The sequence below is a fragment of the Homo sapiens genome, chromosome 18 (genome assembly GCF_000001405.40).
Source record: "Homo sapiens chromosome 18, GRCh38.p14 Primary Assembly".
Lineage (NCBI taxonomy): Eukaryota > Metazoa > Chordata > Mammalia > Primates > Hominidae > Homo > Homo sapiens.
The window spans coordinates 57522883-57550858 of NC_000018.10; the positions used below are offsets into that span (position 1 = coordinate 57522883).

The 27976-nt window shown below is 44.6% G+C and overlaps 1 protein-coding gene across 6 annotated transcripts in view, besides 3 other annotated features; it reads right to left on the minus strand.

Annotated features, from left to right (window-relative positions):
• Nucleotides 577-626: an enhancer, noted in NCBI's record as "active region_13369". NCBI's record gives its function as "activates an Ori minimal core promoter by ATAC-STARR-seq in GM12878 lymphoblastoid cells {active_cell/tissue: GM12878}" and the evidence as "EXISTENCE:reporter gene assay evidence [ECO:0000049][PMID:35858748]".
• The window catches only part of FECH (ferrochelatase), a 42326-nt gene continuing 35844 nt past the window's right edge, over nt 21495-27976 (minus strand). For all 6 annotated transcript variants that reach the window (NM_001371094.1, NM_001374778.1, NM_000140.5 and 3 more), the window contains one exon: nt 21495-27964. In NM_001371094.1, coding sequence (NP_001358023.1) covers nt 27830-27964 — 135 coding nt within the window. In that variant the 3' untranslated portion in view covers nt 21495-27829. The remainder of the gene's footprint in view (nt 27965-27976) is intronic.
• Nucleotides 22645-22754: an enhancer, noted in NCBI's record as "active region_13370". NCBI's record gives its function as "activates an Ori minimal core promoter by ATAC-STARR-seq in GM12878 lymphoblastoid cells {active_cell/tissue: GM12878}" and the evidence as "EXISTENCE:reporter gene assay evidence [ECO:0000049][PMID:35858748]".
• Nucleotides 24502-24702: a silencer, noted in NCBI's record as "peak3163 fragment used in MPRA reporter construct". NCBI's record gives its function as "represses an SCP1 promoter by STARR-seq MPRAs in K562 erythroleukemia cells {active_cell/tissue: K562}" and the evidence as "EXISTENCE:reporter gene assay evidence [ECO:0000049][PMID:32103011]".

Consider the following 27976-nt stretch of genomic DNA (forward strand, 5'->3'; position numbering starts at 1 on the left):
CGTAGTGCTTAACCACTTTCCCTTCTTGGATATTTTCATTGTTTCTAAATGATGCCGTGATTATCTTTGAAAAAAATTATGGTTTTTCATTTGCTCCCTTTGGCTTATGCTTATGGAGTATATTTCCCAAAGTGGCATTACCAATGCATTATCTGAGGATAATGTTCATAGTTCTTGTTACACTACTACCAGACTGCTTTCAAGAAATATCGGAGCAAATGAGTGCAGCATCCCCAATACATGGTGTTTCCCACATCTCCAGCAACACTGGGTTTTATTATTTTTAGCTTTGTTTGCCAATGCTGTGGCACCAACTAGAAAGTGCTTCCAAGGTCATTTACACTTGCAATACTTAGTGAGAGTTCTTATACTATAGAGTATGTGGCAGATAACATTTTGATCTACGAACCTCACCCTACTTACTCACCCTTTGGTCTGCCCTCTGATATAGGCAGCCGCAGGGACGTTCACACGCCTCGCATTAGTGAAGTGATGACACTGCAAAATACAGTAAAAGGAATCAAGCTTTCACTTCTGCATTACAAAATAGGCTTCTGGAAACTCACAGCAGAGACCATAGTTTTAAGGGGGGAAGAAGCTTTCTGTATTTCAAAGCTTGGCTTTTGAGCATAAGAAGCCTCAGGCCTGAAAGACTCAAGGCATATGGTTCAGGCATAAATAATAGATTTGGAAGAATATGTGATCAGTCAGAGCCAGACAGCCCTGCCCCAGGCTGGATAAGGTTTCCCTGGACTGAGGCAGTGGAGAGGTAGAGAAGGAAGAAGAGGCTTAAATGGTGGGTCCTGAAGGCAGAAGGCTGCGACAGGAGCAGCAAGAGGCAGATGGACGCTGCATCCCCTACACTGCTCATGTCCACGTGGTACAGTGGAGAAGGCTGTATGCAAATGCCACTCATTCAGGAGGGGTTCCTGCACAGATGCTGTCTTGAGCACTGTGGATATGGCAGTGAATGAAAAAGACCAAGTCCTTGCTTCTGCAGAATGATGTTCTAATGGGGGAAATAGACGTCAACAAACAAATAAACAAATACGCAGGCAGACTTCGCTACAGTGCGCCTCACAGACATTGTGTATTTTACAAATTGAAGGTTTGTGGCAACCCTGCATGGATCACGTCTGTCTGGGACATCTTTCTGACAGCATGTGCTCACTTCATGATTCTGTGTCACCTTTTGGTAATTCTCGTAATACTTTGAGCTTTTTCATTATTATTATTGTGTCTGTTACAGTGATCTGTGATCAGTGATCTTTGCTGTTACTATTATAATTGTTTTTGGGTACCACCAACAGCACCCATACAAGATGGCAAACTTAACAGATGAATGTTATGTGTTCTGACTGTTTGGACTCCCTATGCCCTGAGACACACAAATATTGAAATTAGGCCAATGAATAGCCCTACAATGGGCTCTAAGTGTTCAAGTGAAAGTAAAAGTCACACAACTCTCACTTTAAATCAAAAGCTGTAAGTAATTAAACAGTGAGGAAGACACAGTGAAAGCCAAGACAGGCTGAAAGCAAAGCTTCTTGTGCCAGTTAGTCAAGTTGAAAATGCGAAGAAAAAGTTCTTGAAGAAAATTAAATGTGCCACTCCAGTGAACACACAGATGATAAGAAAGCGAAACAGCCTTATTACTGATGTAGAGAAAGTTGTAGTTGGTCTGGATAGAAGATCCAACCAGCCACAGCATTCCCTTAAACCAAAGCCTAATCCAGAACAAGGCCCTAAGTCTCTTCAATTCTATAAACACTGAGAGGAGAGGACAGGAGAGGAGAGGAGAGGAGTGGAGGAGGAGGAGGAGGAGGAGAAGAAGAAGAAGGAGAAGGAGGAAGAGGAGAGGAAGAGGAGAGGAAGAGGAAGGAGGAGGAGGAGTAAAGAAAGAAGAAAGAAGAAGGAAGAAGAAAAGAGGAAGAGAAGAGGAGTTGGAAGCTAGCAAAGTTTGGTTCAGGAGGTTTAAGGAAAGGAGCCATTTCCACAAACATCAGCACTTGAGGTAAAGCAGCAAGTGCTGATGGAGAAGCTGCGGCAAGTTATCCAGAAGATCTAAATAAGATTATTGATGAAGGCAGCCACACTAACAGATTTTCAATGTAGATGAAACATCCTTATGTTGGAAGAAGATGCCATCTAGGACTTTCATAGCTAGAGAGGATAAGTCAATGCCTGGCTTCAAGGCTTCAAAGGACAGACTGACTCTCGTTAGGGTCTAATGCAGTTGGTGACTTTAAGTTGAAGCCAATGCTCATTTTCCATTCTGAAAATCCTAGGCCCCTTAAGAATGATGCTAAATCTACTCTCCCTGTGCTCTGTAAATGAAGCAACAAAGCCTGGCTAATAGCACATCTGCTTATAGATGGTTTACTGAACATTTTAATCCCACTGTTGAGACCTACTGCTCAGAAACAAACAAACAAACAAAAACTCTTTCAAAATATTACTGCTCATTGACCATGCATCTAAGCACCCAAGAGCTCTGATGGAGATATACAAGAAGATTAATGTCATTTTCATGCCTGCTAACACAAAATCTATTCTGGGGCTCATGGATCAAGGAGTAATTTTGACCTTCAAGTTGTATTATTTAAGAAATACATTTTATAAGGCTATATAGGTGCCATAGTGATTCCTCTGATGGATCTGGGCAATGTGTGCAACTCACTTTATCATAATGTTTGCTTTATTGTGGAGGTCTAGAACTAAACCCACAATATCTCTGAGACATGCATATATATATATACACACACGCATATATATATACACACATATATATACACACATATATATATGTGTGTGTGTGTGTGTGCCTGTGTGTGATATATATATGTGTGTGTGTATGGTGTATGCATATATGTATATGATGTCAGTGGTGATAAGTGCTCTGAAGACAAATAAAACAGGACAGAGAGTGGTGGATGGTGGAATTATTTTAAATAAGGTGGTCAGAGAAGGCCTTTCTAAAAACATGATATGTGAGCAGTTGAAGTGGGAAGGGAGCCCTGAGCATATTTGGGCATAGAGCATTCCAAGAAGTAAGAACAGCGAGTGCAAAGGCCGAGACAGAAGTGTGTCTTGGCATCTGCCAGACCTATAAGAAGACCAGTGTGGCTGGAGCATGTGAGACAGAGGGAAGAAGACGGTGGAAGGGAGAAAGTCAGAGAGACAGCAGATAGACAGTGGATGGGCTGTCTGGACAGACAGGATGGAGGCAGTCTTGGTTAACACAGGGCCTCTCTCCTCCTTTCCCAGCATGGTGTCTAAGTCCCAGAAGGCACTGAGGGGTCAAGGCAATTAGAGTAGTGTGCCCAGGGGGACAGTGTTTGGATGTGGTTGATGGTCCTCAAGGCCTCCACCGCATCCTCCTGGCTCCGCACCACTAGCCTCTATGTTCACTTTCCACTCCCTACCTCTGGGCCTTTTCTAAGCCACAAGCAGACAGTTGGCTTTCCCCGTACCTTTGCTTGCAGGGTGCCGAGCAAAGTTCGGAGGAGAAGTTGGTTCCTGGATCCTGGCATCCCTTTTTCCCCTGCTTTGCATCTGTGATGGTTAATATTGTCAACTTGATTGGATTGAGAGATGCAAAGTACTGTTCCTGGGTATGTCTGTGAGGGTGTTGCCAAAGGAGATTAACATCTGAGTCAGTGGGATGGGAAAGGCAAACCCACCCTCAGTCTGGGTGGGCACCATCTAATCAGCTGCCAGCAAGGCTAGAATAAAACAGGCAGGAGAAGATGGAAGAGCAGATTTGCTGAGTCTTCCAGCCTTCATCTTTCTCCTGTGCCGGATGCTTCTTGCCCCCAAACATCAGACTCCAAGTTCTTCAGCTTTTGGATTATGGGACTTACACCAGTGGTTTGCCAGGGGCTCTCGGGCCTTTGGCCACAGACTGAAGGCTGCACCATCAGCCTGACTGAAGGCTGCACCATCAGCTTCCCTACCTTTGAGGTTTTGGGACTCAGACTGATCCACTGCTGGCTTCCTTGCTCCTCACCTTGCAGACAGCCTTTCATAGGACTTTACCATGTGATCTCATGAGTTGATTCTCCTTAATAAACTCCCTTTCAGATATATGCATATATCCTATTAGTTCTGTCCCTCAAAAGAACCCTGAGTAATGCAGCATCCTTGCTCCTACTTAAGGCCACACTACTGCTGGCTTGGCCCACCATCATGTATATGCACCAGTTTCAAAATCCCCACGCCTTCCTTGAGCTCAGGAATTCAGGCTGAAGTCAACTGATTATGTGAAGAAGTAACATGTACATTGAAATATGAGTTAAGGCCAGGCATGGTGGCTAATGCTTGTAATCCCAACACTTTAGGAGTTCGAGGCAGGAGGATCACTTGAAACCAGGAGTATGAGACTAGCCTGGGCAATATAGCAGGACCCCTTCTCAAAAAAAAAAAAAAATTGCCAGGTGTGGTAGCACATACCTGTGGTCTCAACTTCTGGGGAGGCTGAGGTGGGAGAATCACTCGAGTCCAGAAGGTTGAAGCTGCAGTGAGCCATGATTGTACCACTGCACTCCAGCCTGGGCAACAGAGTAAGATCCTGACTCTAAAAAAAATAAAAGAAAGAAAAGCAAGGAATGAAAGAAAACAAAAGAAAAGAAAAGAACCCTCCATGGAAGTTAGTTGCTAAGCAAGATAAATCTCTAGGTGAACATGGAAGAGGAGTTTTTCCTTTTAGCAGCTTCTTACCTATTTCTCCACTCTGGCAGGTGAGCGCGCGCGCGCACACACACACACACACACTCGCATGCACACCAACACACCCCTGCATGCTCCAGAAGCGCAAGGATCAGGAATCTGGTCCCAGCTATTGACAGATGGCCACTCCTGTTCTAAATGAACTGCCGGCCTCGGCCTCCCTTTCATCTCAAAGGCCATTTGCCATAACCTCATTCATCTGTGCAGACTGTCAAATTCTCTCTCCCAGACTTCTCCTGTGACCTTCATTTTATTCTCTGCTCATGCCTGAGTGTGGCAGCTGAACTGGATTGATTAAAGTTTTAGCACTGTCTTGTTTTAATTCAAGAGCTAAACTGAGCATTTAAATGAACTCGCAGCAGGACTGATTGGCAGGCTTCTGGAATCTGATTAACATTCCTCCTGAGGCACTCTTACCCTCCTTATCTCTGCTCTGTGTCCGGGTTGGTTTCTGGGTGAAATTCACTGTTGGTTTAAAATGACATCATTGGAGCAAGTGAGAGTAGACGAATGTTCACTTCCATCCATCCATCCATCACTGGAGACCCTGGGTTCATTAAGCGTGTGCCAGGCACAGTTTCCCTCTACATCCCATAATTCATCCATGGGTCTAATGAACCAAGATGGAGTTTGTCAGTTTGCCCCAGTTTGACTAGATGGGACAATTCTTTGGTGCTCAGAATCTTTTATCCTATAGAGAGAGACTGTGAGGGGAAGAGAGAGCAACTCTCAGCACAGTGACATAAATGTCAGTGCACATCCATTCATCATTTCTACCTACAAACACAGTGCCCACAAGAGCCGGGACACTGAACCCACACCCTTTCTTCTGCAGGTCTTGGTCTGATTGCTATTTTTCAGGGAATCACCTGGCCTCTCCATTCAGTTATCCCACTGTAATTGCCTGTGGTTGCTAAGACAGAGGAGGAAGCATGGGAGGACAGGCCTAGGCATCTATCACCCAGGGCTGGATCAGGCATATAACTTCATACCATGCCCCCTCTAAACTCTCAAGGGCCTTCTCATCCATCCATCCATCCATCCATCCATCCATCCACTCACCCATCTGTCCATCTGTCTGTCCATCCATCCATCCATCTATCCATTCATATATTTAATTCAGCAAGTATTTATCACTTGCCTTCTATGTAACAGGTACTGTGCCAGATGCTGGGATTTTTTAAAAACATACCCAGGAGGTTGTTCTTATTCAGGGATGGTGTGTTAGGCTGTTCTTGTATTACTATAAAAAAAATACCTGTGCTGGGTAAATTATAAAGAAAAGAGGTTTCATTGGCTCACGGTTCTGCAGACAGTACAGAAATCATGGCGCATACTGCCTGCTTCTGGTGATGGCCTCAGGAAGCTTCTACTCATGGCAGAAGGTGAAGAGAGAGCAGGCATCTCACAGGGTGAGAACACGAGCAAGAGAGCGAGTGGGGAGGTACCACACTATTTTAAACAACCAGATCTCACATGAATTCAGAGCCAGAACTCACTGGTCACCAAGGGGATGGCACTAAGCTGTTCATGAAGGACCCGCCCTCATGACCAAACACCTCCACCAGGCCCCACCTCCAACCCTGGGGATTACATTTCAGCAGGAGATTTGAAGGGGACAAATATTCAAACAATATCATACGGTAAGGCCAGCAGATTAGGAGATGACCACAACTGAAAAGATAGTTTGTTACTTACGGTTCCCAAGAGAAGGGGACACACCATGCCACACCATTCAGAGCCACACAGGGAGGCACCAGGTCGAGTCAGGAGGCAGGAGTGAGGGAAAAGCATGGGCAAAGTCTTTCCTTCATTTGTGGTTCTCAAGGGAAGGAACGGGCGAGGCAGGGTAAGCCACTGAGCAAGTTTAGGATTGGATAGGCTGAATAACGTCAGCAGGCTCTGGGCTATCAGGGTGGTCCCCAGTTGAATGGTATCTGGCCCTAGGGTGATTTTGGGCAGAAGGATAACGTCTAGGGTTTCCTAAGCCTGATGAAAGGAGCCAGTTTGGGGAATGGACTTGGGATGAGTTGGTTTGCATATCAAAGGCATCTTGCAGGCAAGTTGTTTGCTACCTGTAGGAAATAGCCAACCCTGGGAAGGGTAGTCCCTTCCTGGGTCCACAGGGCCCCAAGATGTCAAAGCATCCTAAAATACAGAAAACGAAAACGTGGTTAATACATGGGGTTTCAGAAAATGATGTCTGCCCTTAAAGACTTCACAGACTTCAAAACAAACAAGAGTTTCATAGCATATGGCACAAGCTGTGCCAGTCACCTTTGGGGATGTCTGCCCAGCCACAACCTTCCCATTCGTGGGAAATACACCCCAGATCTAAAGGGGTGGGCTCCTCAGTGGCCGGCCAGCTTTATAGTCCATGGCCCATGCCCCTGGCAGTGGCTAATTGGACCAAGATGGACACATGGTCCCAAGCTCAGCCAATCAGATTTCCTCTCCCACTAATTTGGGATTGCAATTCAGAGACCGGTACACCTGTGCTGGCGGGAACAGCAGCTGGTAAACACAGGAGCCAGGAGACAGTCTGACTTCACCGTATGTATATCTGTGATCTCCAACCCTGGGTGCACAGTGGAGTCACTGAGAGTTTTTAAGAAATACTGAGGCCAGAGTCCCAATTCAGACCACTTCAATCAGAATCTCTGAGGATGGGGCCCAGGTGTCCGAGCTCCTGTCCCAAGCCTGACTCACTCCTCACACCCACAAAAGTGAACTGTCCTGGGCCTGCGTCCCCCCTCCAGGAGCATCACCTCTGGCCCTGTCCCTTCATGCTGTGTAGAAGTGACAGGACTGTGCTATGATTGTTGTGGATATTCCACACACACATAGAGTCATGGAGCACAGCAACAGGGAGGGGGCATGCTTAAATTAACACATAACATTCGTGCATTTGCAGGGGGTGCATATGATCTTTTGTTGCATGTGCAGAATGTGTAATGATCAAGTCGGGATATTTAGAATCTCCATCACCTTGAGCACTTATCATTTCTACGTATTGGGAACATTTCAAGTCTGCTCCTTTAGCTATTTTGAAATATACAATTCATTGTTATTAATTACAATCACCCTACTCTGCTATTGCACATTAGAAATTATTCCTTCTGTCTAACTGCACATTTGTACCCATTAACCACTCTCTTCATCCCCTCCTCCCCCACATACACACAAACACTTCCCAGCCTCTGATAACTATAATTCTACTTCCTACCAGAGGGAGCATTTTTTTACCCAGACTGGAGTGCAGTGGCACTTTCTTAGCTCATTGCAGCCTCCAACTCCTGGGGCTAAGCAATGCTCCAGCCTCAGCCTCCTGAGTAGCTAGGACTACAGGCTCAAGCCACCATATCCAGCTAACTTTTTTTAAAAATGTTTTTGTAGAGACATGGTCTCAATATGTTGCCCAGGCTGGTCTCAAACTCCTGGCCTGAAAGCCATCTTCTGTATTTGTCCATTTTCACACTGCTGATAAAGACATCCCCAAGACTGGGAAGGAAAAGAGGTTTAATTGGCCTTACAGTTTCACATGGCTGGGGAGGCCTCAGAATCATGGCAGGAGGCAAAAGGTAATTCTTACATGGCAATGGCAAGAGAAAACGAGGAGGAAGCAAAAGTGGAAACCCCTGATAAACCCATCAGATCTCATGAGACGTATTCACTATCATGAGAATAGCATAGGAAAGACCAGCCCCATGATTCAGTTACCTCCCCCTGGGTCCCTCCCACAACATGTGGGAATTCTGGGAGATACAATTCAAGTTGAGATTTGGTGGGGACACAGCCAAACCATATCAGCCTCCCAAAGTGCTGGGATTACAAGTGTGAGCCACTGTGCCTGGTCCAGGGGGAGCGTGTTAAATCAGTCTCCCACTCAACTTCTGATAAAATGAATGTCCATCAAAAGAAGATGTGCAGTGCACCCAAGAAGTCAATACATCAATTAACCAAGAAATATTTTTAGGAAGAGAGATGAATAAGAGGAAAGACAAGGTTCCTGGCCTGGGGGAGCGTTTAGTTCAGCTGGAGAGGGCTTTAGATGTTGATGTAGATATGTACACATATAAATATGAATGCACGTGGCAGTCTACTTGATTAACATTAGTAAACCAAGCATGATACACACTGGAAGAACGGCACTCCATGCGATCAGAAAGGAAAGATTCCTCTGGGCTGGGCTAGTCCAGGAAGACTTCCTGAAGGTGGGGGCATTTAACCTGGTCTTGTGAAGAAAGGTGAGTTTCAAACAGGCCTATGGGCCAGGGTAACCAGCTCTGTAGGTGCTTGAAGGACAGCCATCCTCTGCACTTGGTGTGCAGAACAGGCCCCATCAGAAGGCGTTCTCAGCCACAGCCTCAGGCTGTGTCCTCCTCCTTCCCCACAGAGTTAATTTTTTATCACTCAAGCAAACCAGAGAAACTCAAAAGCTTGAACTAATAATGGTGGCCCAAGTCCAAGCATGGGTACGGACCCAGGTGAGGTCCTCTAACCTCTCAGAAAGCAGGTATCAGGAGACAAAGGGGGTGATTGGGTAACTAGGGGAGACAGGAGACCTGGACTCACCCCTGCACAGATGCTACCTTTCAAAGACACAGGTGCATCAAACACTGGAACCCAGATCCACTCACAGTCAAACTCTGCCCCTTCTTTAAAATAGCTGCTCTAGGGAGACAGAGATGGAGAAGAGCTTTGCACTCACTGCTCACTCTTCCCAGGAGCTAAGCCTAAATACTGAGGGCCTGGACTAAGAATAAAACTTAGTCATGGCTGGACGTGGTGACTCACACCTGTAATCGTAGCACTTTGGGAGACCAAAGTGAGGGGACCGCTTGAGGCCAGGAGTTCGAGACCAGCCTGGGCAGTATAGCGAAACGCTGTCTCTACAAAAAATAAAAATTCAAAAATTAGCCAGGTGTGGTAGTGCACTACTGGAGTCTCAGATATTTGGGAGGCTGAGGTGGGAGGATTGCTTGAGCCCAGGAGGTCAAGGTTGCAGCGAGTCATGGTAGCTCTGCTGTACTCCAGCCTGGGCAACAGAGTGAGACCCTGTCTCTTAAAAATAAAATAAAATAAAACCCAGTCATTCCAAAGCAAATGTCTTTCCTCTATTTCCATATTCACAAATCCCTCCCCAGCTCTAGAGGAACTAGCCACCCCGTGAGCCGTCTTCCCTCTGAGTCTCTTCTTCTTTCCCTCGGCTGATCCCTTCATCCTCCCATTCTGCCTCTCTCCATCTCCCTATCAGGACCCCTTATTCCTCAGCTGCAATCAACTCCCAAGTATTCGGCCTGCAATTCCTGAACTTCCACCTGGCACTGCTAAGCTTTCAAACCCACAACCTCGGGTCTGAGTTTCAGGCCAGGAGTGTCCCTTTCTCCTGCCCTTTGGGGGAGCTCGGATTTCTACCCATCCACTTTTAAAACATCCCTTCCCTCTACTCAGTTTGAGAATAACATCTGGGGACAGATGTGTCTGAATCATCCCGACTTGGGGCTTGGTTTCCCCCTCTGTGCAATAGAGAGTGGACTGTGCCCTCTCTCTAAGGATGACCGTCCGCACACACCCCATCCTGAGTATGAGCTTTTTCCAGGACGGCAGTTTATTTTCAGCTGTAGGCTTTCAGCGACACTGGCTTTGCTTCTTTCTGCTGCCGTGAAAGATTTTCCATGCCACTAGGGAGTATAAATGCTCCTCACATGCATTTTTGAAAGACCTCGGAAACCTCTGCATAAATCAGTAGAAGTTCATTTATGGTTTCAGAATATTCTGGCTAATTTATCTGGTGTCAAAGATCCTGAGCCTGAGCCTTCAGTTTCCAAACTGGGCCCTGTAGGGCTCTGCTGCATTTCCCTTGCATGTTTGTTTTGGCTGGCCCTGAAATTCGACCCGGCCACAAGGAGACCTTTATCATTATCCAAAGAGATCTTCCCCTTCCCAATGACACACTGTTCGGAGGTTTAACTCCGAGCCAGTGCTTCTTCCCCTTTTAAAAAACCAACAGCAAAGATAGAGCTCTTCCTTCCAAGCCACCAGGTCGCAGGTCTCAGATTTCAGCCTTGCCCTGATGTCCTTCCTGTGAGTTTGAACTCCGCTGTGCCAGCATGTAGGCCCTCCCAACACCCTCCTGCTGGCCTTACGCGGGCCAGGGCAGGCAGTGTACAGAAACAGGGACCCACTGATGGTGATGCAATGAAAAAAAATAACCTGGCAGTCAGCATGTTTGAGCTTTCTGGGGCTGTCTTACCAGAAATCGCTGTAGAAACATGTGGCTGACATTGTTAGCAATTAGCCCAGTGTCCAGCCCCAGAGGCGATTTTACATCCTTCCTGGCTATGGTTTGAGATTTCATTGTTTGATGCTCCCTGCATTTTGCTCTCTCAGTATTTCCTCTACCCTGAATCATGTGGCCAAGCCTTAAACTCCTGTCCTTTGAGGACAATCAGAATGACACCTTTAGTGTTTGTGCCTTATTTTATGGCCTCATGATCTTGTGCCCTTTGGAGTTCAAAGGTCACATCAGGCAGCAGGCCGGGAGGTTTTTGATGTGACCTTTGAACCCCAGAAAACAAAAGAATGGAGGCCCACAGAGACCATCCATCTAAAAAATGATCCTATAAAGAATGCAACTCAATCAGCCCAGAGCATGCAAATCACATAACATTTTTATGGAGCACCCTGCTAAATCCAAACTTACAGCCAGAAGAAGGGACACAAACCCCATGATCCCAATACATAAATCAAAGCTTGAGAAAAGCAAAGACATGAGTTTACAGCTGGCTAAGAATGGAAGGATTTGCAAAATGTGATTTATACATTTGTTTCCTCCCCTCCTCCCACCCAGTCTACACACAAACACACACTCACACACACGCTGGTCAATACCACAGCACCACAGGGAAATCCAGCATTTTCCTTTCCAAAGGTTTGCCCTGTGCTAAGTCTACCATGGACAGACATGGGAGAGCAACTGAAGGCCAAGAGCTTCCTCCCTGGCCACCAGAACCATCCTCAGAGACAGGCAGAAAGTCCATAGGGCAGGCAGCCAGATAAGGAAGATGAGGACTTGCCATACAGGTAAAAGGCTGGCCCCACAAAGAAGGCCACATTCTGTAGAACAGATGTCACCTCCCCTATGACACAGATTGTCCCTCAACAGTCCTTAATACCTGGCACACATGTCCCCAGGGCAAAGGTCAGACTAATTTCTGAATTGATGAGAAATACTGTTCAAATAGTTAGAGACTGAGCAGGAGGTGCTCCTGTTTCTCATGACTATTGAAGTTTTGGTTTTTTAAAAAAGAAATATTTAAGTGTGTTTCTAGATGTCTAGATAACATGCTGATGCTGGGTAATAGATCTTGAGAAGTCTGCCAAGTATGTCTGTAGTAGCAAATGTTCAGAGACCAGAACCGTGGAGTATGAAAAAGAGATCCCCTTTTAAATGAAGATTGGATTTGCAATTAAAATGCGTGTCTTCTTTCTTTTCTTTTCCATTTTTTTTTTTGTTTGTTTTTTGTTTGTTTGTTTGTTTTTTAAGACGAGATCTCACTGTGTCACTTAGGCTGGAGTATAGTGGCACAATCACGGCTCACTGCAGCCCCGACCTCCTGGGCTCATGTAGTCCTCCTGCCTCAGCCTCCCAAGTAGCTGGGACCACAGGTGCATGCCACCACATCCAGCTATTCTTTTTAATTTTTTTGTAGCAATGAGGTCTTACTTTGTTGCCCAGGCTAGTCCCGAACTCCTGGCCTGAAGTGACCCTCTTGCCTCAGCCTCCCAAAGTGCTGGGATTACAGGTGTGAGCCACTGTGCCCGGCCTTTGTGTCTTCTACAGTGAAACTGAAAAATTGTGTAGGTGCATCTAGATCTTCATCATGGATGTTGCATCTGGAAGAATCTCTGCTCTATCTCATCCAGGTTCCTCCTTTCTTTTTAACTTTGCACCAGATTCTAATGTCTCTGGGAGCTATGAATATATTTTTAACTCTGTCTGAACAGTACCACAGCTGTGTCTAATAAAACTATGCCTTCAACAGTGGCACCCCAAAGCAATTTCAGATGAAATAAGAATCCTAGAAAGGACCCTAGAAAGAAAAAATCCTGGCCTTAGAATTGGAAGACTAACTCTGTATGACCATGGTCAAGTCGCTTCACCTCTTTGAGCCCCCATTTCTGAAAGTTGAATGGTCCTGGTGCTTTCTGAGGGCCTGCTCTGCACAGGTCCTGCCCAGGTGTCGGGATAACCTCTATCCTGTCAGATTTAACACTGCATGACTTCTCTGTTTCCAGGACGTCTTACTTAGACACAAAAGAATGAACTAAACAGCTCCTCCTCTACCCCCGTTCTTTAACTCGGGGATTTCACCACCTGTTTCCTACTTAGGAGAGGCAAAATGTAACCCAGTGGACGAAGCCCCATTTTCCAAATGATTCCTAAGCAGCAAACATGATGTTGAAGTGTTCTGCAAAATTCTCCATGCAATTTTGGAAGCCCAGTCTAAGGAATATATATGACTGCTGCTTAAGCTGCTCAAAAATAAGTTTAACCAGGGTCTCAGAGTCTTTCTGGCCCAAGACTATTGTGGCTGGAAAGACTAGGAAATCATCCTGGCTAATCTCGACCTCTTTACACATTCCACACGTGCTCTGGACAGGGGCTAGGGGACACTCACCAGAGGTCACAGGGCTAATTAGGCACAGTCAGGACCAAAGCTCAAGCTCCTCCAGCGCCGGCGCACACTAACAGCTACCCCAGTGCACACTGGGCCGTGGCACTGGCTTCTTACCCATCTCTACAACAAAACTGTGGGTAGATGTTACTATTGCATGTCAGAGATGAGGTGCTAGAGTCCTGGGAGGTTCAGTTACTTGCTTAAATCTCACAGCTGATACATGAGGAGCCGGGATTGGGCTCAGGCTTTGTCTGATTCCGGGCCTGTACTTGTAAGCACCCACCTCAGCCCTGAGACCCCATCTCTATGCCACAGCGTGAAGCCTCACACACAGGAGATGATGAGTCCACAGAACCTGAGTGGGAACAGTCTCAGAGGAAGGGAAGAAGGGGGCATGCAGTGAGTTTAATGGTGCCCCCCTAAGAGATCCTAACACATCCTAACCCCCACAACCTCTGAATGGGACCTGTTTTGGAGAAGGCAACTTTGCAGATGTAATTAGTTTAAGTATATCTTGAAGAGATCATCGGGATTATCCAGGTGAGTCCTAACCCAAATGACAAGCATCCTTACAAAAAACAGAGGAGGAGCCGGGCACAGTGGTTCACACCTGTAATCCCAGCTACTTGAGAGGCCAAGGTGGGAAGATCGCTTGAGCCCAGGAGTGCAAGGCTGCAGTCAGCTATGATAAAAATTTAAAAATAAAATAAAAATAAAATCAGAAGAGAAGACACAGACACAGGAGAGAAGGCCATGTGAAGATGGAGGCAGAGATGGAGCCATGCAGCCACAAGCCAAAGTATGCCTGGAGCCACAAGAAGCTGGAAGACCCAAGGAAGATTCTTTCCTGGCCCTGCTGATGCCTTGACTTTAGGCTTTCTGGGCTCCAGCATTGTGAGAGAATAAATATCTCTTGTTCAAGCTTTGTAGGCCCGCATAGCATGAGAGTCGTTGGGTACTTAGGCTTCTGAGGCCAAGGCATTAGGTTCTGCAGAACTGAAATCTCCACACTTTGGTAAGAATGGGCGCTGAATAGCCCCCTGGCAAGTCAGCCCCAGCCCCAGCTGTGCTCTTTACCATTACAGAGCTCCTAAGAACAGAAGGCCTTTTGCCCATTGGAACCCAGTTCCTTACTCTTAGTAAGATTTGGCAATTGAGCCAAGACATATTCTAGCCTGAGTCAAATATCTAGATTGATAAATTGTCCAAGTCAGGTGTGTGTTGGGGAAAGATTCTTCAATGAAGGTTTCTTGTAGATCCTAACCCTCCCAAATACATGTTCAATGCAATTAGATTTTTAAAACTTCCATGATATGGTTAGGCTTTGGTCCCCTCCCAAATCTCATCTTGAATTGTAATCCCCATAATCCCCACAGTCCCCATGTGTCAAGGGACAGACCAGGTGAAGGTAATTGAATCATGGGGGCAGTTTCCCCCATGCTGTTCTCATGATAGTGAATGAGCTGTCATTCACTATCACGTGAATGGCTGGAGATGACCTGCTTGGGAGCTCAGGCCACCTCAGGCCACACCTGGCTACACTCCAGGCTGAAGAAACTGATAAGTTCCAAGCAAACCGAGGAAACTCCCCAAGCACAAGAGTCAGGAGCTCTTCCCCCTTCACTTGGCACTTCTCCTTCCTGCCATCTTGTGAAGAAGGTGCCTTCCTTCCACTTCACCTTATGGCATGATTGTAAGTTTCCTGAGGTCTCCCCAGCCATGTCGAACTGTGAGTCAATTAAACCTCTTTCCTTTATAAATTACCCAGTCTCAAGCAGTTCTTTATAGCAGTATGAAAAGAGACTAATGCATTCCATTTCAATGGACATTTTCAGAAACACACTTCTATGTAAAGCAAGTTCCGTAGTGCAGACTTCCTGCTTGTTCCCAATGGGTCCTTGGGTTATAAGACTACAAAGACAGAGGTGGCTGGGCTTCTTTATTGAAACTTGCTGGCTCTGAGACAGAACATTCCAGCAGGCAGACAGGAGATGAGGATGCTTCATCACTTCAGCACTGATGGACTGAATGCTTCTTCTCTGGATCACTGTATCCTAGAAGCCCAGTCTGAGGATGTGAATAGCAACATCTACCCACAGCTTTATTGTAAAGATGAATAGAGTTGATGTGTAAAAAGCCAGTTCTCTGGACTGGCGTGCACACACATGGAAGTAGCCATTATTACAGGCTGGGAATGGAGGAACATGTGCTTCAGTCTTGACTGTTCCTAATTAGCCGTGTGTACCTACTTTTCTCATCTATAAACTAGAACGAGCATCTGCCCTAACTAAGGGGCAGATTTTGAGGGAATGGCACAGACTACTTCTCAGGCTGTAAAATGGGGACATGAATGTTTTTAATTGTCATCCTTGACACATGATTCCAGTGTTTTCAAATATTTTCCTGGTAAAACAGAGGTCAGATCCTCCTTTGCTCATGCTGCTGTCAGAAGCCCAGACAGCACTGTTCTGGTGGCCAGAGATGACCTGCTTGGGAGCTCAGGCCACCTCAGGCCACACCTGGCTACACTCCAGGCTGAAGAAACTGGTAAGTTCCAAACACACCGAGGAACCTGCCCAAGCACGAGAGTCAGGAGCTCTGCGTTACATATGTCATATTTTTTCTATCTAGCCCATATTTAATAAACCCAATTTTTTAAAAAAGTAATTGAGTCTCAATCCTCAGAAGCAAATCTTGGAAATATGGAAATATTTGAAGACGCCTCCAAAGTAGATAAAAGAAAAATGGAGGGTTTCAAAAATAGCAGCTTATGCAAGATTTTTGATAAAATGAAATCCCCATAATATAAAATTCCCCATAATATAAAATTCCAGAATACATAGTAAGACCTCTGACAAGGAATAGAGTCAGACACTGCTTCCACCTATGAATCATGCCAAGAAATAACTACCTCTCATTGGGTGTTGAAAAATCCTTGTAAATATATAGTTTGGAAGAAATATAAAAGCCGTACTTTCCTCTGATTTCAGAATAAAGACTCTTCCTCCATCCTCTGACTCCCACAAACTTCGGGTGCACACACATGCACGTGTGCTTACACACGCACACACAAACATACACACACACACACACACAAAATGAACCAAGAAAGGAAGGAAAAGAGATCAGGAATGAGAGAGCCCACTAATGGATTGGCTTAAGTATAGAACAACATCCCATCACTGTTCTAGAAAATAATCAATCGAGCACTTAATTTTAAACATAAAAGTAAGCTGCCAGGAGACTGTTAATAGATAACCAAATGAATTAACAGTTGTAGGTGGGATTTGAAACCAGGTCAGATTTTCCACCAAGCTCCAGGCCCTATGCATACAAAGGGCCTCACCAGCTCGGGCACTTGATCTCACACTGTTTCAAAGTGGGATATCTCCTTTTAGCCAATATCCCTCCTCAGCGGGCTTGTCACTTCAGGGGATTGTTCTTTGTGCATCTTCCATAAATTTTATAACACCACTACTTTAAAATATTGATGGGCAACTTGGCCTTGGCCCAGGCCCACAGTGGGTTAGCATGGACATGAAAACCTTCAGGAGGGCAGAAACAGGAAGAACACATTCCCCGCTGCCTTTTCGTAAGGGACAATTGTGTAAGTGCGGTGGTTACCTGAGCTGGAGACCTGCCCAGCTTTGATGGATGGCTCTGCCCTCTGGGAGGCTGCTGAGAGCTGTTTGGGGACAGGAGGGCACTCAGGACACACACAGGCAATACTGAGGTACCTATAGACCTGCAAAGGGTAAGTAAAATCCACACATAATCCCCCAAGTTGTTCTAACCTGAAACTCAACTTTCTTAACACTCAGACTTTTTGCAAAGTTATTGATAAATAAGAAAAAATGGCTTTGTCATGTGTCTCTTCTTCCTATGCCCATCAATCCCATTCTTCCTATAACCCTATCAAGGCAAGTGACCAAAAAGTAAATGGTAGCAAGGAACAGAAAGAGCAGGACAGGCCGGGTGTGGTGGCTTACACTTGTAATCCAAGCACTTTGGGAAGCTGAGGTGGGAGGATCTCCTGAGCCCAGGAGTTTGAGTCCAGTCTGGGCAACATAGGGAGACATCATCTCTACAGACTCACACACACAGAATTAGCTGGCCATGGTGGTGCATCTGTAGTCCCAGTGATGTGGTTTGGATTTATGTCCCTACCCAAATCTCGTGTAGAATTGGAGGAGGGGCATGGTGGAAGGTAATTGGATAATGGGGGCAGATTTAACCTTGGTGATCTCGTGATAGTGAGTCCTCATAAGATCTGATGGTTTAAAAGTATATGGCACTTCTCTCTCATTCTCTCTCTCCTGCCACCATGTGAAGAAGGTCTTTGCTTCTCCTTCGCCTTCTGCTGTGATTCTAAGTTTCCTGAGGCCTTCCAGTCATGCTTCCTGTTAAGCCCGCAGAAACTGCAAGTCAATTAGACTTCTTTTGACTTTGACTACCCAGTCTCAAGTAGTTCTTTATAGCAGTGTGAAAACCAACTTATACACCTAGCTACTTGGGAAGCTGAGGCAGGAGGATCACTTAAGCCCAGGAGGTCAAGGTTGCAGAGAGCCAGGATTGTGTCACTGCATTCCAGCCTGAGTGACAGAGCAAGACCTTGTCTCAAAAAACAAAAACAAAACAGGACAAGAGAACTGATCCCCTAGATTCCTGCCATCACACTCTCTTCATAATACTCCCAGAAAAAAACTATAACACCACTAAGAACAATACAGCAATAGTGTGCTAACCAAATTAATACAAGTTAATAATGACTACCATTTATTGGGCCTTCAACACACATACACACACTCATGCACACACATATATCTCAGACACTGCACTGTACTAAACACATTACATATGTGATCTCATTTCATCCTTTAAAAAAAAATCTGCAAGAATAGCCTTTGACTCAGACAACACACTTCCAAGAACTTTTCCTATGGAAATGATCAAGGATATGTCCAAAGATTTTGTCTATAAGGATATTTGTCAAAATCATTGTTTAGTAATATGTCATGACAAATAAGACATGTCCATGAGATGTTAAATGAGCAATACAGAGTATAGAAGAAACATATGAGTATTTTTATAATTTTAAAGTATGCATAAAATATGTGGGGTTAGTTTCATCAAAGTGTCATAAGTTCATGCGTAATTTCCCCTTTTTTATGTATCTTACTTTCCACATTTTAAAATAAATTTTAGTAAGAAAAATATATTTTAAAATTATGACCTAGGTGCTATGTCCAAATATTCATAGGTGTTAATGAATAATAGCCCACTACAGATACAAAGCCCTTTCTAGTCTACATTCTGGTTTTACATGTTGTCTCAGATGATTCTCACACCATCTTTTCAGGTGGGCAGAGCAGATGGCTTATAATGCTAAAGATTTTTAAGCATACAAAAAATAATTAAAAGGCTGGGTGCAGTGTCTCATGCCTGTAATCCCAGCACTTTGGGAGACAGAGACAGGAGGATCACTTGAGGCCAGGAGTTCGAGACCAGCCTGGGTAACATAGCGAGACCCCATCTCTACAAAAAGAAAATTTAAAAATTAGCCTGGTGTGGTGGCATGCACCTGTAGTCCCAGCAACTCAGGAAACTGAAGCAGGAGGAGCCCAAGAGTTCTAGGCTGCAGTGAGTTAAGTTATGATGGCACCACTGCACACCAGCCTGGGCAACAAAAGGAGACCCCATCTGTTAAAAAAAAAAAAAAAAAGAGAGAGAGTAACACATCAAACCAACAGCCTTTCCCTGTGACCCACAGGCAGGCACACTCAGGCCTCTCTGAAAAGAGGCTGCCCTTGGCTGTGGTCCACGGGGTGTCTGCTCCAGGCTCCCAATGTTCATTGTGGGGGTGCTCCAACTGCCGTGAAAATAATCTGACTTATCACTCCTTGGGCTCCCCATACTCCCATTACTTCTTAGGTTCTGTAGGATTCTGCTCTGTTCACTGCAGGAAGGGAGCAAGGTGGGGGAACATTCCAGAATACATAGTAAGACCTCTGACAAGGGATAGAGTCAGCAATGTGCAGGAGCTGGCTCATGCTGGCTCAGGAAAGCCAATCTTTAACAACTCCTCCCAACTCTATGATCAGTAATGCCACGTTGGTAGCTTGGAGCCAGCAGCAGTGGTAGTATTTACACCATGAAAATCAGCAAATGCTACAAATCAGGGTTCCTTTTTCTCCCAGAGAGCCCGTTGTTAAACGTTTATCAGCACACCACTGGATGCAGTCTCAGAAAGAAAAATTCGTATATTCAAATGAAGGTTAATCCCTCCAGACCCCTGCTTTAATTAAGCAGGACTACAGCTCCACAGACTAAGCAGACTGTGAAGGTTGTTTTAAAATAACATATTATTCAGAAAACTGTTTATGTATTTACAAACCTTGCCAATTTGCCCACTCTCCATCCCTCCTTGAGGTCTCTTGTTTCCTTTTGCTGTGTTTCCCCCAGAGTCAAAGAAAGCCCACCTAATACAGTTCTTTTGTTTATAAACTTGATGGACCCAAACAATGTTTGAAACAGCCCAGCTCTGAGCAGGGACAGAAGAATGTCCTGCTCACCACGGCAGTGCCCAGTCTTGCCCCGAAGTCAGACTTCGCTGAGCCGAAAGCCTTGATAACGTGTTTGCCCCTGTCCTCCGGCTTCCCAGTCGTTGGGCCGTCTTCACTGGTGCTTCCTGAACAATCTCTACGCTGCACTTGAGGACGACTCAGCTGGGAGTGAAACATGATCAGGAGATAATTTGGCCCAGATGGCTCTAATGCAGGCAGGAGCATTTGGCTGTGCATATCCTTAGTCTAGGGGAACCCATTTAAATTTTTTTGAGAAGGGAATGTAACCAAGCAGCCACACAGCCTCAAAATGCTACCTCATGTTATACAGCTGCAATGAGATGTCTGATCACGCTCCTGGAGAGACATTCGGCTCTTAGGAAGGTAAAGCCAGGCTAGCCTTTGCTGCTGGATACCACCACGGCTCGGCTCGGTACTTGGCCTTTGGGGGATTCAGAAGGGATCAGGCATAAAACCTTGAATATATTCCTAGCTCCTGAGGATCAAGGGATTGCAGCAAAGGGTAATACCGCAACTGGAAACAGGAGAAAGCATCGCAGAAACACAGAGTGAACCAGGAGTTCGGAAGAGGCCCAGGGAGAGGCTTGCGGGACACAAAACGGTGAAGTGGCTGCACAGAGCAGCTGTCTTTATTTCTGTCGAGCTCTGAGGCATAGGAAGGGGTTAGAATTCACTATTTGACACAGTTTTCCTTTTCTGTCATGCAATTGACAGGAGAAAGATACAAATAAAAGAAGCTGCTTGTCTGCAGAGTGTAGCTTCGGGAAAAGATTAGTTTGCTTCAGGAAAAATAGGACCCATGCAACCCGAGGCTCTAGAGTATGACGGGGACACATTGGTGACAGAGTCTCACCAGTGTTAGTGAAAAGGTCGGCTGCCTTCAGGAGCCAGCTGGAGCTCTACAGCTGTGCACACAGGGTTCCATCTCATTCTCTCCAGCGTAGTCATGGACACTTTAACGTGGAGCCCTCCCAGAGGAACAGACGGGAAGAGACCACTTTGTTCCCCACTGCCTAATCTTGAGAATGAGCAATTCATGCTCCCCTAAAGTGGGTCCTTACCCACTGCTGCGTTGGTCTTCCCCTGTGACAAGTTTTCAGGGCCGGATGAGGTGACAAGTAAAACAAAATGTACTTTTCAGACAGACCTTTGTCATCGGAAAGCTTTTGTCCCTTTTAGCCCTCTGGCTGAAACTGTTGATTGGGAATCACTTTCCATGGATTCTGTTAGTACTACAGGCCCATGGGTTTTTGGTGGAGACAAATGGAATCTTACTAAAAAGACTTATACCCCTAGTCACTGTGGGGGTAACTTTTGCTCCAAATAGGCAGTGATTATAGAGAGAGCTGCCTCTCTATGTCGTGAATGTGGAGAATAATACAAGTATGCAATCCATAGATATCATTTCCACCATCCCAGAAAAGTTCCCTTTTAGGCAGCAGTGTGCTGGTAAATGGTGACTAACCAGCAATCTGAAAAACAGTCTATGCATATAATGTAGGTGTGAGAGTATGTTTACTATAAATTTTACTAATCTAAAAGATGTGGAATACACAATTTACAAATAATAATAAAATACACAATACACTTTCCTACAAATTCCATATAGTCAATTCATTCTCAGAGAATGCTTTTGTTGATGTTTACCAAGCTCTCGCATCTGCAGCCAACCTATGGTTGCAATTGATCAACAAGTATAGTTCACACATATCGACATTTTGTTTACATTCATGAGCAATGCAAATATGAAACAACTTCTTTGTATGCCAATACTTCACTTGGATAAGTTGAATAATAGTTTTCAAATAATGGAAGACTATTCAAGTGTTCAAGTGTTTGTGAAAATCACAGTGTAATGGCTACAGAAACAACTTATGTACTGTGTTATTAACGTTTTTCCCATCACTTTCTTAAGTCTAAATAATCAACGACAAAAAAAAGGGCGAAATAATTAGAAAGTAATGAATTTAGAATGTTACCTTTGTTTTTAATATAACTTAATTTGAAAGATATTATTTTAATGATTAACTTGAAATTTTAACAATTGGTTCACAAGCCAACATGCCATGTGCCTGTGCAATCAATTCCATGCCATATATACACTTTTTTTCAGATAAGGAAAAGGTAAAAATACAGAATACTACATGGATTATCAAGGTTAAATCTATTCTTTCTTAACATGACAGGAAAGTAAAGCTTTGACCCGCAGGGGAGACTGGAGAGGGGAAGTTGGCCTGTCTGTTCCCATTTCAGGAGCAGGCTAAGAGTGTGTTTCTGGAAACAAAACTGTCAGAGTGAAGGCTCACAAGAAATCAGAAACAGGACCCAGATCTCTACCCAAGGGCTTATAACAAAGGCTCAAAGCAGGCTTTTTTCCAAAAATGTTTTTAATTCCAACATCCATCTTAATGGCCTACTGTAGCCTAATTTAGCCAATAGCTGTTATTCTAAAAATGGAAGCTAATGATTCCAGCTAAAAACAACGAAGCCGGTACTATCACAGTATGTTGTAAGAAACTGATTATCATGGGGTGCATTTTTCACTTCCTTTTCTCTGAAGAAAGGCTTAGTAAGAGTCCCACATCAAAAGCAAAAGCATTTCTTTCTCTCACGGGACCCCAGAATAGGAGGAATGTGTTCTCTAGAGGCAACCACCTCCCAGAACTACTCTTTGGCAAGATGCATCAGACGCACGGAGCGATGGTCTGGCTGAAGGGCACCACCTGCTATTGCTCATCATATTCGTGCCATTCAACAAATATTAGCAGCATCAATTTACTTCTCTGAAGCACCTGCAGGTACCCACCACTTGGCTGAGTGCTATATAGCTCTACACACTTTATATTTTGCAAAATACGTGCATATGGAAAAGAAGCACAACATTTAAGGCAAAGATCAGATAATAGCCGTATTGCACAAGTGTCTAGCTGGAGAAAATTGACAAAAAAAATAGAAAGTTTGTAAAATGATCAAAATTTTAGATATGCAGGATAAATATGTTCTGGGGATCTAACATACAGCATGGCGAATGTAGTTAATAATACTTCAAGTACTGTAGACAGTTGTCCTTCTATATTGGCAGGGAATTGGTTCCAGGATCCCCCACAGATACTAAAAGTTATCCACACTCAGGTCTCCATTTTGCTATTAAAAATTGAGAAGCTGAATAATCTTAATTTAGGGCATTAGTTTCCGGGTGAGCTCAGAATTTTCTTATTCCAGCTTGTGACATCTCAATGAATTTCCCATTTCCACCTAACGTTAGGAGCCCTGTTCCTGGGCCACCTTCAGGATTCTGGCAGAAGGGGTTTCAGGTGAGGTGAGAAGGTTAAGAGGTGAATTGGAGGTTCTTGGCTGATGCACCTGTGCCTTCACGTGCCCCCGTGCGCACACATAGACGTTCGCTTACAGCTGCCAGCTTTAAATTCTGCCTTCCCGCTGTCGTTGGGCAAGGTGGTCCTTTGCCGCATCGACAGGAGCTCATACGGCAGAGCCCCTAGGAATGCAGGTGCCCCCAGTCATCTACACTCTGAGCAGGGGGCAGGTCTTGCTGCTCACTCCACTTGGGGTATGGCTGCAGCCTAATCTCTCACCCTTTGTGGGTAATAATAATATACTTTGGATAAGCACAATGGCATCACATTGAGCAAAGGATCTCTTTTACATGCCTTAAGTTATGGTTTCTTGAATTAAATATGGAATTTACTAGAAAGATTAGCCCACCTCTTGCATCAGCGTGACCTGGAGGTGAGACATGGAGTCAAAGGAGATTATTCCGGAACTTTAAGATTTATTGAGTAGGCCGGGGATGGTGGCTCACGCCTGTAATCCCAACACTTTCAGAGGCTGAGGCGGGTGGATCACGAGGTCAGGAATTAGAGACCAGCCTGACCAACATGGTCAGGCCCCATCTCTACTAAAAATACAAAAATTAGCCGGGCATGGTGGCACACGCCTGAGTAGCCCAGCTACTCCGGAGGCTGAGGCAGGATGATCCTTTGAACCCAAGAGGCGGAGGTTGCAGTGAGCCGAGATCGTGCCACTGTACTCCAGCTTGGGCAACAGAGCGAGACTCCATCTCAAAAAAAAAAAAAAAAAATTTAAGGAGTGCCCTGCCGGGTTTCAGACTTGCACAGTGGAGTGCAGTGGTGCATGGGGCCTGTAGCCCCTGTGTTTTGGCCAATTTCTCCCATTTGGAATGGGAACATTTACCAATGTCTGTACTCCCATTGTATCTTGGAAGTCACTAACTTGCTTTTAATGTTACAGGCTCACAGGCAGAAGGGACTTGCCTTGTCTTGGATGAGACTTTGAACTTGGACTTTTGGGTTAATGCTGGAATGAGTTAAGACTCTGGAGGACTGTTGTGAAGGCATGATTGGTTTTGAAATGTAAAAAGGACATGTGATTTGGGAGGGGCCAGGGTGGAATGATATGATTTGGCTCTGTTCCCCACCCAAATCTCATTTCAAATTGTAATCCCCATAATCCCCACGTGTTGAGGGAGGGACCTGGTGGAAGGAGATTGGAACATGGAGACAGTTCCCCCATGCTGTTCTTGTGACAGCCAGTTCTCACGAGATCTGATGGTTTTATAAGGGGGCTCTTCCCCTTTGCTTGCTCTCACTCACTGCCATGTAAGACATCTGCTTCCCCTTCTGCCATGATTGTCAATTTCCTAAGGCTTCCTCAGAAAGCCGAACCGAGTCAATTAAACCTCTTTCCTTTGTAAATGACCCAGTCTCTGTATTTCTTTTCTTTTTTTTGGTTTTGGGACAGGGTCTTCCTCTGTCACCCAGGCTGGAGTGCAGTGGTGCAATCACACCTCACTGCAACCTCAAACTGCTGGGCTCAAGCAATCCTACCACCTCAGCCTCCTAAGTAGCTGGAACTACAGGCATGTGACACTACACCCAGTTAATTTTTACTTTATTTTTTGTAGAGTCAGGGTCTCCCTATGTTGCCCAGGCTGGTCTTGAACTCTTGGGATCAAGCAATCCTCCAACCTTGGCCTTCCAAAGTATTGGAATTACACATGTAAGGCACGGCACCCAGCCTCACATTTAAAGGGCTTTTAATAATGAGTTCAGGGCCAGGTGCAGAGGCTCATCCTTGTAATCCCAGCACTTTGGGAGACTGAGGCAGGAGAATCCCTTGAGCCCAGGAGTTCAAGACCAGCCTGGACAACATGGCAAAACCCCATCTCTACAAAAAATATAAAAAAGTAGCCCAGCGTGGTGAAGCACTCCTGTAGTCCCAGCTACTTGGAGGCTGAGGTGGGAGGATCACTTGAGCCCAGGAGGTGGAAGTAGCAGTGAGCCGAGATCGCACCACTGCCCTCCAGCCTGGGTGACATAGCAAGACTCCATCTTAAAAAAAAAAAAAAACAAAACAAAACAATGAGTTCATTTCTCCTGATACGAAGCAAATTTTGAGTGCAAAAATTTATTGTGATTTTTAAAAAGTTAAGTAGTTCAAGAATGCATATTCTTTAGAAGAGCACTATACATGCAGGGACCTGGGCTTTATCATCACCCTGGCAAGCTAAACTGCCTCATCAACACTGTCCCTGCAAAAGTTTCTGTAGAAGTTGATTCATCAATTAAAAGCCAGATCCGTATATACACAGCTGAAGAAACTGCCAGCAGTTCATTGCTAATTACCAGGGCAAACATTTGTATTTCAAAGTTGACCAACAGGATGACAATTCTCAAAGCTCTAAAAAGATTTTGTCCTACCAAACACTAGCCTAATGTATGACCGTTACCCATCCGTGGTTAGTAACAATCAAAGGCAACACTTCTTACAGCAACAAATGCCATGAGCAGTGATCTCAATAAATTCCTCTTTGCCTGTCACTATAAAAGCCAGTCTGGTCCCAACTCAGTATCAAGGACATTATTCCAGACAGCACAGTACTGCTATCAATTCAGGTTTCCTTAGCAAATAAGTGCTTCAGATATACTCGCAAGGGCTCCTGAATTGGAGTTTTCTGCATCATCTCCATAAAAATATTTTTTCACCTCTAAAGTCATCAAAGAATTGAAGCAGGCCCTTGGGAAATATCCTTAAGGGGAGAGAGTGGCTCCAAAAATAACCTTCCTTCCAGCACCACACCACCAGCTCAGAGAATTCACTTCACGGTGGGACGGTCACTCAAAGTCTACTGTGAACCTCATCCCCAAAAAGGTAATGGCAAAGGCTAGAGGAAAATCCTAAACAATCACCTATGCCTTGTATCTTTCTCTAGAAACACAATCTACTAGTAGAAAAACCAATTTGAAATTTTAAAAATGTGGATGCTACTCATGAGGGCTGTCATCAACGTAGGAAAACTATTAACTCAAGTGGATGACATGTTTCTTTTCCTGTATTAAAAAAGCTCCTCACATTTAATAATTCTGATTTAGATCAGTTTTGATTTAACAGACAGCATGAATCAAACTTAGCTAAAACCTTAATGATGTTGTAATATTTATTAACATAGCCAATTCTCAATATAGAAGATTTATGAATCTCCTAATACTTCCACTTTATAAACTGGCTAAAAAAAAAAAAAAAAAGAAACGCTCTTTTGAAGAACAAAGTTTCAGGGCTTGGAGGAAAGAGAAAGTGATCTTTACAAATTCTTCATGGAACCACCGGGGATCTTTTAATCCATTTAAATACAAACATAGAAGATCAGACTCTGATCTGACATTATTTCTATATTTTTAGAAACACTTTTCACTCATAAATCCAAGGTGACAATGGCATTAAATGGCATTAAAAATATCTACAGGAAAGGACTACCACGAAATACAATATTATGATAACAGTTATTGCATTAAAGTGGTTACTTTTCTGTATTCTTCACATGTCCCATTGTATCACTATACATTTTTATAATAAAAAATCGTAAATTAAGAAAGAATTCAAGCAAAGTATTGTTGACTTTATAAAATAATTCTTAAAACAAATGTTCAGAAAGAAGGCATTCAACTAAGATAGAGAAGATGCTGGATGGAGAGGCTTGCAAGGTCCCGGGAGGAGCTCCAGGGTGAAGCTCATCACTAGCCTTTCCAGCAGCACTGTCCCTGGAGACCAGAAGCAGTGGGAGCCCCTTCCCTGTGGCACCACGGACTCCCACCAAGGCACGTATCATGAACACTGTACTTGTACACGTTTATTACCCTTGGGTGTATGGGGAATCTAAGAGCACCTCTGAAATCCATACTTGATTCCTTTTTACATTGAGGAAAGTGAGATTCACACACAAATACCAAGATGACCAATGAATGGTGGCCTCGCTGGCAAAAGCAGCCATTGCAGGTAACCAAATTGCCTCCCTAGCATTCTGTAACCCATGGGCTTAGGGAAAGATTAAGTAACATTTCTTTTTCAAATTCACTTCAAATACTCAACTGTGTTCATTTAAAAAACAGCAACTATATGCACGAGACTAAACAGATCTCATTCACACTGCCAGCCCACAGAGGGGACTCTCCGTACCCTTTCAGGAGGGTTTTGGGCAATAAAGCCAAAATCTGTACTTAAATAGGTGTGTCTCATAAGACAAATTTTTAACTCATTTATTAAAGGTCCTGATGGACATTCCAAACTAGTAACTTATACCTAGAGAGAGAAAATACAAATGCTTACTGTATAGTTATATAAAAATAGAAATCCATCAAGAGTCCAATCCTCAAGAAACCACACAATTTGTACCCAAAGGCTGTATATATATCAAGGAAGGATGACTTCCTTCCTTGATCTCTAAATAACACCCTCTCCACATCGGAGGTATCTGGAGGTTGGGCATTTGCCTAACGCCACGGGGTCCACCGGCGGGGGTCACAGCTGCTGGCTGGTGAAGAAGGATTTAGTCTCCCTGCAGACAGGATTGACACAGAGCGGACAGCTCAGGGTCAGCTGCTTGGAACACAGCTCGTTTGACTGGATGTGTGAATGCACCAAGTCGGCCAGGGCCTGGAAGATAGA